The following is a 12,965-nucleotide window of genomic DNA, read 5'->3' as shown; positions in this document are numbered from 1 at the left end:
GGGTGGTGGCCAGGCAGAGGGGCTCCTCACTTCCCAGTAGGGGCGGCCGGGCAGAGGCACCCCTCACCTCCCGGACGGGGCGGCTGGCCCGGGCCGGGGGGCTGACCCCCCCCACCTCCCTCCCGGACGGGGTGGCTGGCCTGGCGGGGGCTGACCCCCACCTCCCTCCCGGACGGGGTGGCTGCCGGGCGGAGACGCTCCTCACTTCCCAGACAGGGTGGCTGCTGGGCGGAGGGGCTCCTCACTTCTCAGACGGGGTGGTTGCCAGGCGGAGGGTCTCCTCACTTCTCAGACGGGGCGGCTGGGCAGAGACGCTCCTCACCTCCCAGATGGGGTCGCGGCCGGGCAGAGGCGCTCCCCACATCTCAGACGATGGGCGGCCGGGCAGAGACGCTCCTCACTTCCTAGATGGGATGGCCAGGAAGTGAGGACTGGGCAGCCAGGCAGAGAGGCTCCTCACGTCCCAGACAATGGGCAGCCAGGCAGAGACACTCCTCACTTCCCAGACGGGGTGGCGGCCGGGCAGAGGCTGCACTCTTGGCACTTTGGGAGGCCAAGGCAGGCGGCTGGGAGGTGGAGGTTGTAGCGAGCCGAGATCAAGCCACTGCACTCCAGCCTGGGCACCATTGAGCACTGAGTGAACCAGACTCCGTCTGCAATCCCGGCACCTCGGGAGGCCGAGGTTGGCGGATCACTTGCGGTTAGGAGCTGGAGACCAGCCCGGCCAACACAGCGAAACCCCGTCTCCACCAAAAAAATACGAAAACCAGTCAGGCGTGGCAGCGCGCGCCTGCAATTGCAGGCACACGGCAGGCTGAGGCAGGAGAATCAGGCAGGGAGGTTGCAGTGAGCCGAGATGGCAGCAGTACAGTCCAGCTTTGGCTCGGCATCAGAGGGAGACAGTGGGGAGAGGGGGAGGGGGAGGGGGAGGGGGCCTTTTAAATTATTTACATTTGAGTGAAAGTTAATATTTTTCTTTAACCTACCTATGGGTTCTTTGAAAAGATGTTTAATGACCTATTTAAGGTGACTAAAACCATCATATTAATTTTTTACTCCAAAGATAGTAGTAAAAGGGAAATTTCCGATAGCAGTTATTTAAAATAAATTGACAAGCCAAAAATATAACATATAATATTAATATTATTATCTAATAATTGATTATTAATTATCTAATATTAACATATTTTGGCTTGTCAATTTATTTTAATAATATAATATTAATAATATAATAGATAATATTAATATCTATTAATATTAATAAATATAAAAGTAAACTTTAGCCAGCCATGGCGGTGCACACTTATAGTCCCAGCTACTCAGGAGGCTGATGCAGGAGCCCAGGAATCCAAGGCTATCGTGAGCTATGATCACCCTCATGAAAACCACTGCACTCCAGCCTGGGCAACATAGTGAGATCCCATCTCAGAAAATAAATGTAAATCCTTGCCATTAGCTATGACTATAAATATCTAAAGTGTTTCTTTAAAATTAATCGTTATTCCTGTATCCTTTATCTATGTAAACCTAACGATGTGGGTTATGATTACTTTTAGGCACATAATAGGTGACAAACGGCACCTCTGGTACCAAAGTATTCCTCATCTCATCCACCAGAGGGTACTTGAGAGTTATTCAATAAAAGAACTTGGGAGAGCAAATTTTAAAATTTTAACTAGAAACCACAGTCCTAAAGTGATATATACACACACACTTCTGTTACATTATTAACCAAATTCATTTTGCTAAAAGATAGCCACATGTTTTTTTCCACTAAATTATAGAATTCTGATACTCTTCCATTTGCTTTTTGTTTGTTTGTTTGTTTTTAATTTGTTTTTTTTCAGAGACGGGGTCTCACTATGTGTTGCCCAGGCTGGTCTCAAACTTCTGGACTCAAGCGATCCTCCTGCCTTGGACTCCCAAAGTGCTGGGATTACAGGTGTGAACTGCCGTGCCTGGCCAAGTTAGAATGTCATTCGTATTCTTATACTCAATTTTGAACATTTTTTGAATCTAACCTAGGTTGGGGGTGGGGTACTGTGTATTTTACACACTATATTAAATGTGTTTTTCTATTGAAAATTGTGGTACTTACATTTACTAGAAAAGGCTAGTAATTTTATTATTATAATTCCAGAATTGTTTCTCTATTCTGTGTAATTAGCATATCATTTAACTGGATTTATCCTGGAGTCTCATGAAAGATGCAGCGTGTTATTTTTCTTTCATTAGGTTCATCTTCCACTTTTCTTTCCCATTCCATGTTCCAGTAAGAGCAAATTACTGTACTGTATATTAAAAAACTAAAAATTAGGCCAGGTGTGGTGGCTCACGCCTGTAATCCCAGCACTTTGGGAGGCTGAGGTGGGCGGATCACAAAATCGAGAGTTCAAGACCAGCCTGACCAACATGGTGAAACCCCGTCTCTACTAAAAATACAAAAATTAACCAGGCGTGGTGCCGTGCGCCTGTAATCCCAGCTACTCAGGAGTCTGAGACAAGAGAATCACTTGAACCCGGGAGGTGGAGGTTGCAGTGAGCTGAGATCATGCCATTGCACTCCAGCCTGGGCGACAGAGCGAGACTCCATCTTAAAAAAAAACAAGCAAAACACACACACACAAAGTAAAAATTAGAAATAGCCCAAATGACCAATAGTAGTGAATAGGAAAGCCAACAGTGGTGTTATGGCAATGGATATTTATATTGATCTATTAATAATATTATGTATACATTATAATACTGATGCAATAGCAGCTACACAGGAGGCTGAGGTGGGAGGATCTCTTGAGGCCAGGAGTTTGAGACTGCAGTGAGCTATGATTGTGCCACTGCACTCCAGCCTGGGTGACAGAGCAAGATCTCGTCTCTAAAAAATAAATACATAAAAAAGTTAATTAATAGTACAATTGCAGCTGGGTGTGGTGGCTCATGCCTGTAATCCCAGCACTTTGGAAAGCTGAGGCTGGCGGATCACTAGAGGTCAGAAGCCCACGATGAGCCTGGCCAACATGGTAAAACCCCGTCTCTACTAAAAATACAAAAGTGAGTGCGGGCGTGGTGGTGAACACCTGTAATCCCAACTACTCAGGAGGCTGAGGCAGGAGAATCACTTGAACCTGGGAAGCAGAGGTTGCAGTGAGCTAAGATCATGCCACTGCACTCCAGCCTGGGCAACAGAACGAGACTCTGTCTCAAAATAAATAAATAAATAAATAAGAGTACAAATGCAATAGTACTAGGAATGCATTCACCAAAATGTGCTGATATCCACTCAGCATAAGTCCCTGTGCTTTGTGATGATAAACAAAAAAAGATTCCTAGCTCTTAAGGATTTTATAGAACAAAAATAAACTCCTAGCTCTTAAGGAGTATATAATTTTGTGTGTGGGGGTGTATGAACGCACTCATAATCAAATATTTAGAGGGTAAGGGTTGTGAGCATGGGCTTTGGAGTTAGAAATGCAGGCTCTCCTACTCATTTGTTATATGACCTGGGGCAAATTCTTTCACCTGTCTCTGAGCCTTGGTTTTCTCAACTGTTAAATAAGAATAATAACCTACCCTGATTTTACTGTGAAAATTAAGCAAGATGAAAAAGCAGTAGACACCTAGTATTGAGTAATAGGCTCAGTACATGGTAATAGTATTCATGGGGTTTTATTATTGGTGCTTTCTTTGTGAAGCAAGGAATAGGGCTTCAGACCATTGTGTAATATCATGCCTGACAGACTGTTCCAGTTGGCCACCATTGGGATGAGATGGATGTATTGTTCCAGGGCCAGACAATTTCTCTGGTCAGGTGAGCTTTAGCCACATCCTGACAGTCCAGTTTTATGGATAGCCTAGTAGTTTTGGCTGCTTGCCATATGGAAAATCACAAAAAAGGAACCTTCTGCATGGGCAACATAGTGAGACCCTCATCCCTAAAAAACAAAAAAAATGTAGCCAGGCGTGGTGGCATGTGCCTGTGGTCCCAGCTACTGGGGAGGCTGAAGTTGGAGGATTGCTTCAGCCCAGGAGGTCAAGGCTGCAGTGAGCTGTGATCATGCCAATGCATTCTAGCCTGGAAAACAGAGCAAGACTCTGTTTCAAAAAAAAAAAATTAAAAAAAAAAAAAAAAAGAAAGAAATAATCTCACATCCCTTGGAGTGGTTTGAGTTTCTTTTTTGCTTTAGTTGCTTCAAGTGGGCCTATTCAGGTGAAGCCTTCTTTTTTTTTTTAATTGAGACAGTCTTACTCTGTCACCCAGGCTGGAGTGCAGTGGTGTGATCTTGGCTCTCTCAACCTCCACCTCCCAGGTTACAGCGATTCTCCCACCTCAGCCTCCTGAGTAGCTAGGATTACAGGTGCCTGCCACCACGCCCAGCTAATTTTTTTTTTTTTAGACAGAGTCTCGCTCTGTCGCCCAGGCTGGAGTGCAGTGACACGATCTCGGCTCACTGTAAGCTCCGCCTTCCTGGTTCACACCATTCTCCTGCCTCAGCCACCCGAATAACTGGGACTACAGGCGCCTGCCACCACAACCGGCTAATTTTTTGTATTTTTAGTGGAGATGGGGTTTCATTGTGTTACCCAGGATGGTCTTGATCTCTTGACCTTGTGATCCGCCTACCTCAGCCTCCCGAAGTGCTGGGATTACAGGCGTGAGCCACCACGCCCTGCCAAATTTTTTTTTATTTGTATTAGAGACGGGGTTTGGCCATGTTGGCCAGGCTGGTCTCAAACTCGTGACCTTAAGTGATCCTCCCACCTGGGCCTCCCAAAGTGCTGGGATTACAGGTGTGAGCCACTGTGCCTGGCCTCAGGTGAAGACTTCTTACAGTTTATAGGGCCAGTTTAGACTGTTGCACCCTATGGGCTAGCTGACCTCAGACAGAACTCTCTTCACAGAGAAATAGGTCTGGGGCCCAGGATGGCAGAGGAAGTGTCTGTCAAGCAAGGCTTTGAGCACTGCTGAAATACAGGGAACCTGTTGAGCCAAGAGTCAAATGGGGAGCGGGCGTCAAAAACCAGACAATGAAATCCACATGGGTCACCAAGTCATGGTAGGCAGAAGCTGTGCTGAAATCCGAAGTGTAGAGCAGGGGTTGAAACCAGGGAGGGGCGTGCAAGCCACAGTGTGTGCCTCTGCTCACCAGCTATGATTCCCGATCCCAGGAGTTTATATGCCAATGAGACTAGGTGAATAAATAAGTTAATTTCACATGCTGCTGAGTCCTGTAAAGAAAGATAGCATAGGATAACAAGTGGAGAGTTCATAGGGAGGCTGTTTGAATTAAGGTGGTATTCTAGGCAGGAAGAACAGCAAGAATAGAGGCCCTTAGACAGGAATGACAGAAGGCAGCTGTTGTAGCTGGAGTGTAGTGAACAAAGAGGAAGAAGGAAATGACTGGAAAGGTAGGCAGGACCATAACACAAAGGATTTTGTAAGCCGTGACAAAGAGGCTGGGTTTATCAACATAATGAGAAGCTATCGGAGGTTTTAAATAGGGAAGCGGGCTTGGCATGATCCCAATTACACCTTAGAAAGATCACTCTGGCTGCTGTGTGGAGGATGTATTATAATTAAGACAAGAGTTATGGCCATGAGACTAGTTAGGAGGTAGTTGAAACAGTTAAGGCAAGAAATGGTGGTTGTTTGGGATATGATGGGAGCAGTTGTCACAGAAGGAAGTTGGATTCAAGATCTCTTATGGAGAGTGATCTGATAGGGTTTACTGATGCATTGGAATTGGAACACAAGGGAAAGGAAAAGCAAGGGGACTCTTGGGTTTGGGGCCTGGGCAAATGTGTAGGCAGTGGTGCCATCTACTCGGGTGGCACAGGATTGAAGGGGAGTGGATTGGGGGAAAGACCATAGCTTTATTTTGGCACTGTTGAGTTTGAGGCACCTGCTAGGCATCCTTCTAAGTGGAGATGTGAAGTGGACAGTAGTAGTAGTATCTGCATCTGGGTTCAGGGATGAGATCTGGACTACAGAGGAATGTTTGAGAGCCACCGGTATTCACAAGGCATCAGTGAAAGGTATTTAAAGCAGGTGTTGTGGTTAGGTGAAATTAACTTGGGAGTAGTGCCCATAGAGCAGAGCTTCGAGGTGGCTCATGCCTGTAATCCCAGCACTTTGGGAGGCTGAGGCAGACGGATCCCTTGAGCTCAGGAGTTTGAGACCAGCCTGGCCAACATGGTGAAACCCTATCTCTATTAAAAATACAAAAATACTTTTGTATTTTTTTTTTGCAGCCATAAAAACGGATGAGTTCATGTCCTTTTCAGGGACATAGATGAAGCTGGAAGCCATCATTCTCAGCAAACTACACAGGAACAGAAAACCAAACACCACATGTTCTCACTCATAAGTGGGAGTTGAACAATGAGAACACATGGACGCAGAGAGGGAAACATCACACACTGGGGCCTGTCAGGGGATGGGGGATAAGGGGAGGGAGAGCATTAGGAGAAATACCTAATGCTGCAGGGCTTGAAACCAAGATGACGGGTTGATAGGTGCAGCAAACCACCATGGCATATGTATACCTGTGTAACAAACCTGCATGTTCTGCACATGTATACCTGTGTAACAAACCTGCATGTTCTGCACATGTGTCCCAGAACTTAAAGTAAAAGAAAAATAAAAAAATTAGCTGGGCATGGCAGCACATGCCTGTAGTCTCAGGTACTTGGGAGGCTGAGGCAGGAGAATCACTTGAACCTGGGAGGCAGAGGTTGCAGTGAGCTGAGATTGCGCTACTGCAAAGCCTGGGCAACAGAGTGAGACTCCATCTCAAAAAACAAAAATAAATACATTAAAAAAAAAGAAAGAGAAGAGTTTTGAGGATGGAGTCTGGAGCACTCCAACATTCAAAGGTCTGGTGGTGAATGAGAAGACAGCCAGCAGATGAAGGAGGTATAAAGTAAGGTAGGAAAAGACCAAGTGAGCAGGAGTTCGTGGAGCCCTCAGGAGGAATACATTTCAGGAGGAAGGAGAAGATCAAGCGAGGGCCTGCTAGTAAGGCAAGTAAGATGAAGACAGAGGCGTGGCCATTGGCACCTTGATTAGAGCTGTTTTAATGGAATGGGGGGTAGCTGGGGCACAAAAGCTTCATCTGAGTAGGCTGAGAAAAGGAAAAGGATGGGAGGTGAGATATAAGCAACTCTTCCAGAGCTTTTTTGTGCAAAGGAGCAATGTAGGGAACAGATAGATGGTCCAGATAATTTTTTTCTTTCCTTTTTTTTTTTTTTTTAAGACAAGATCTCTGTCACTCAGGCTGGAGTGCAGTTGGGTGATCACAGCTCACTGCAACCTCTGCCTCCCAGGCTCAAATCATCCTCCCACCTCAGCCTCCCAAGAAGCTGGGACCACAGGTGCCTGCCACCATGCCCGGCTAATATTTTGTATTTTTGGTAGAGATGGGGTTTTGTCATGTTGCCCAGGCTGGTCTCGAATTCCAGAGCTCAAGTGATCCTCCCACCTTGGTTTCCCAAAGTGCTGGGATTACAGATGTGAGCCATTGTGCCTGGTGCCAGATAACTTTTAAGAGATATTTGTATACAGATAGCAATGATACAGAGGAGAAGGAGGACTTGAACGCTGCAGAAGATAAAAAGATAACCTATAGAAATAAAATCCTTGAGAAAGTGATGACAGATGGGGTCCTGGGCACAGGACCTGGTTGCTTTTTTCCCCATCCTAACAGGAGGGAAGGCAGAGTGTGTGCTGCAGATCCAGGTGCTTCTCTCCTGATGGCGTTGGTCTTGTGGGTCCCTAGCTAGACCACCTTCAGCTCTCATAACAGAGGGAAACTACTGGTGATATTTATGCATGCAGGCGAAGTCTTGGATCAAGGAAGAAGTACAGATTGCTGTCTCAAACCAGACACAAATTCCCAAGTGCCGGGCCCGCAGAAAATCTATGTGTCAAATACCTATCTCTCCTCTCCAACCCTGAGGTTGTTCTTGTACTTAAACCAGGCTGGTGGGTGGGTCTCACCTCTTTGGACCAGGCTTTCTTGCAGGTGAGAGCCACCGCACCTAGCCCGTGGGCTAGAGGTTTTATAAATAAAGTTTCCTTGCCTGGAGAGCTTTGAGGGGGTTCCTTTATTCAGATTTCCAAATTAGTACAGATTAGTCTAAAATTTTGTTTTATTTTTTATTTTTTAGAGACAGGGTCTTACTATGCTGCCCAGATTGATCTTGAACTCCTGGGCTCAAGCAATCATCCCACCTCAGCCTCCTGAAGTGCTGGGATTACAGGCGTGAGCCACCATCCCCGGCCCAATCTAAAATGTCGAGGGAACAGAGCTTGGTGCTGCTACAATGGGGCTTCTGCTACTCATCCTGTTCTGTTTTAGTGCAAATTAGTAGAAACAGCTTAGAGGTTTTGAAAAGAGTAGGGGTGGGGGAAAAGTAGGATGATTGAAATAGCATTTCAATTAGATTAATTGGGCTAGTTATGTAAAGATATACCTTGTAAAAAAAATAGTTATGATAGCTACAACTTACTGAATGCCTACCATGGGCTAGAGGGTTTTGTTTGTTTGTTCTTTTTTAAAAAATTATTTTTGTCCAGGTGTGGTGACTCATGCCTGTAATCCCAGCACTCTAGGAGGCCAAAGGTGGCAGATTGCCTGAGGTCAGAAGTTTGAGATCAGCTTGGCCAGCATGGTGAAACCCCCTCTCTACCAAAAATACAAAAATTAGCTGGGCATGGTGGCAGGCACCTGTAATTCCAGCTACTCGGGAGGCTGAGGCAGAAGAGTTGCCTGAACCCGGGACGTGGAGGTTGCAGTGAGCCAATATTGCGCCACTGCACTCCAGTCTGGGCAACAGACTGAGACTTCATCTCAAAAAATATATATATAAATCTTTTTTTAATTAAAAAAAAAGTAGAGACAGGGTCTTGCTGTATTGCCCAGGCTGGTCTTAAACTCCTGGCCTCAAGATCCTCCTACCTCAGCCTCCCAAAGTGCTAGGATTACAGAGGTGAGTCACCGGGCCCAGCCCATGGGCTAGGGGTTTTAGAAATGAAACAAAACAACAATTATTGACATTGGAGTCTTTTTCCTCCTGCTGTGCATTGAAAAAAGGATTTGGATTCTGGGACCCATCCGTGTGGGCCTTTGGATGCAATACGGTTACACAAATATTTCTTTCTTTACTTCCCTGCAAGCTGGGTATTAGTGTCACCACTAATTTTTGCAGATGGGGTGACTAAAGTTTACAGAGGTTGTATACCTGATCCAATTGAGTGATGCAACAAGAATTTGAATCTAGGGCTATCCAACTCTAAAATTCATGCTAGAGCTACTCTGCATGGATCATACAGGTAGGGTGCAGTGATCAAGCGTGCGGACTGTGGTGGAAGAGGGCTTGGGACTTGAGTTATGCTCCACCATTTACTAGCTCTATTGTCTTGAGCCGGTTACTCAACATCTAGCAGTCTGTGTTTCTTAATCTGTAAAACGGGGGTAGTAATGGCCCCTCCCTCAAGGGTTGCTCTGAGGATTATGTGAGACATATGGCTCAGAGCTGACAAAGGGAAGAGGCCCAATAAATGCTGGTTATTATTATAAGATACCATGCTGGCCTCTGTCTCAACCAGTCTCACTGCTTGCACCAGAAACTTACATCCTGTCTTGGAAATGTCTCACATAATAGATTGTATCCGCTTAACTTACTCTGTCCTGTGCTTCCAACACCAGGCATCTAAGAAATGCTTCAGATGATTATATTACCCAACTGCATGAGTGGGTTTGATAGCTTTTCCAAAGGGCTGGTATTTCAGTTGTGCAACTGTAACTGCTCCATGGCAATAGAAAAGATTTATTTTTTGGACCCGAATCAACCCTCAGCTCCATTTCTCAAACTCCAGCTACATCACAAGATGTCAGCGTCATGCAATATTAACAGTTGGTCAAAGGTGCTAGTGGCATTTTGCAGAAGTAATGAAGAATCCATATTGTCTAAGATTGCTTTGTTATGCCTTCTGCCCTGAGCCCTGCTCAACCTTTGAGACCAGGCTGGTGGGAAAATTTAGCTGCAAACTCACCTAGAAGGCAGTGGAAGGGCAAAAAACTTGTTTATTCAACTTTGCAAGAGTCTGGTTAAAAGGTGCCACACAGTCAAGGAAAGGGCCAAGTCACAACCTTTCCTTAGACCTAAGGAGGCAAAGAAAAAGATCTGTCAGCGCTTTTTCTTTTTTTTCGAGACAGAATTTTGCTCTTGTTGCCCAGGCTGGAGTACAATGGCACCATCTCGGCTCACCGTAACCTCTGCCTCCCGGGTTCAAACGATTCTCCTGCCTCAGCCTCCTGAGTAGCTGGGATTACAGGCATAAGCCACCTCACTTGGCTAATTTTTTGTATTTTTAGTAGAGACAGGGTTTCTCCATGTTGGCCAGGCTGGTCTCGAACTCCCGACCTCAGGTGATCCTCCTGCCTCGGCTCCCAAAGTGCTGGGATTACAGATGTGAGCCACTGAGCCTGGCTTTTTTTTTAAAAACTAAGCACAACAATGCTGGATGTGGTGGCCCACCCCTGTAATTCCAGCACTTTGGGAGGCCAAAGCCTGAGGATCACTTGAGCTCAGGAGTTTGAGACCAGCCTGGGCAACATGGTGAAACCCCGTCTCTATCAAAAATACAAAAAAAAAAAAAAAAAAAAAAGGTTTTTTTTTGTTTTTGTTTTTGTTTAAGACTAAGCACAATGAAGTAGTTTTCAAATGTTGATGATGGCCTGGCTCCTAAAGAGGAATCCGGCGTCGGGTAGGGGCGAGAAAAAGGAGGAATTTTCTCTTAGAAGGCCACTGCTATCAGCGAGGTAAGCAGTCAGCTTCATCATTTTAAACTGGTTTGTGGGACCAGATTTCTGACCTGAAGGGTGAAGAATTGTGTGCTTGCTTCAGTTGGGGTCTCTTCTAACCAGTTTGTCCTTGCTAACATTGAAGAAATTGAGTCAGCCTTTTCATACTTTAAGAACCACTTCTTCAGGGGACTTTCTCATGTCCTGAAGCTCAGAGTGTCCTCATTCTTCTTTACATCTTAGTGACACCAAGATGTGAAGTCAGAAGGGCCTGATTTAAACAACGGTCCAGTCAGGCATCTGCCTTGGTGCTTCAGGCAAGTTATCTGACCTCAGTTTCCTCATCTATAAAATCGAATTAATAAAATAACCTACTTGGATAATGTATGTGTAATGGAAAATAAAAATAGTATATTAAACCAAACTGACTACAGCTACTTCTGCCTTTTAAGGGAGGTAGACACACTTTATATCAGCAAGGAAATTCATTTTTCCTTTGTGCCTTTCCCCAGAAGTGATAGAGAGTACACATGACACAGAAGCACACAGGGAGGGAGAGAGGGAGAGAGACAGAGAAAGAGAGAGGACGTGTGCATGCACTAGCATGAGATCAGGTAGGTCTGCTATTTAACAGAGCACGGCCATGGCGTTTGGATGTACTGAGGTGGGGCAGCAGTAGAATATATGCATAGAAGCTGGAAAGAGCTGAATTGCTCCACCCAGCAAAATAAAAGGAGTATCTAGTTTTGGCGGTTTCTAAAGGTCAGTAAGTAAGGGAGAAGACAGGGATAGCCTGCACAATATTGCAGAAGGCAGAAAGAACTTAAAGGTCTAGGAGAGACCAGTTATTATTGGTTTACATGCTTATATATGTCAAATCTCTTGGAATAATTCTTGGCACCAGTGAGCCCTTAATAAATGGCAACCAGTAGCCAATGAGATAGCAAAGCTATCTCGTTGGCCACGTGTAGTATCTCTCCATGGAGAAACTGTGTCATCTGTGTGTGTGTGTGTGTGTTGGGAAAAGGAGGTAGATGGCAAACAGGGATGTAATGGGTCCAAATTCTGGCTCCATCAGGTTTATTTCTCTGTTTCTTCAAGTTGTTTACTTATTTATTTAGATGGAGTCTCGATCTGTTGCCCAGGCTGGAGAGCAGTGGTGCAATTTCAGCTCACTGCAACCTGCGGCTCCCAGGTTCAAACAATTCTCCTGCCTCAGCCTCCCGAGTAGCTGGGATTACAGGTACGCACCACCATGCATAGCTAATTTTTGTATTTTTGGTAGAGGTGGGGTTTTGCCATCTTGGCCAGTCTGATCTTGAACTCCTCACCTCAGGTGATCCTAGCCTCTGAAAGTGCTAGGATTACAGGCGTGAGCCACCACGCCTGGCCCTTCATCTTTAAATTGGGGCAAGAAAATGGTACCTTGTCTTATAAGATTTACATGAAGTTTAGATGAAATAGTCTAGGCAATTCATAATCCAGGAATTTAGTTATTCTTCACTAAATATTAGCTCTTAGGAGTGTAGATGGTCCCTGACTTATGATGGTTCCATTTAGAATTTTTCAACTTTGCAGTGGTGTGAAAGCGATACACGTTCAGCAGCAACCATACTTCAAGTACCCATGCAACCATTCTGTTTTTCACTTTTGGTAATGTTAAAATGGAAATGAGATATTCAACACTTTATTATAAAATTGGCTTCGTGTTAGATGATATTGCTTAACTGTAGGCTGATGTAAGTGTTCTGAGCATGTCTGAGTAGACTAGGCTAAGCTATGATGTTCAGTAGCTTAGGTGTACTAAATGCATTTTTAAAATTTATTATTTATTTATTTATTTATTTTGAGATGGAGTCTCGCTCCATCGCCCAGGCTGGAGTGCAGTGGCGCCATCGCCATTCACTGCAAGCTCCGCCTCCTGGGTTCACGCCATTCTCCTGCCTCAGCCTCCTGAGTAGCTGGGACTACAGGCCCCCGGCTAATTTTTTTTGTATTTTTAGTAGAGACGGGGTTTCACCTTGTTAGCCAGGATGGTCTTGATCGCCTGACCTTGTGATCTGCCCGCCTTGGCCTTCCAAAGTGCTGGGATTACAAGCCTGAGCCACTGCGCCCAGTTTTAAATGCATTTTTGACTTAGGATATTTTCAACTTAGTTTATCA

The sequence above is a fragment of the Homo sapiens genome, chromosome 11 (genome assembly GCF_000001405.40).
Source record: "Homo sapiens chromosome 11, GRCh38.p14 Primary Assembly".
In the NCBI taxonomy this organism is placed as follows: Eukaryota; Metazoa; Chordata; class Mammalia; order Primates; family Hominidae; genus Homo; species Homo sapiens.
This window is presented reverse-complemented; position numbering follows the sequence as displayed.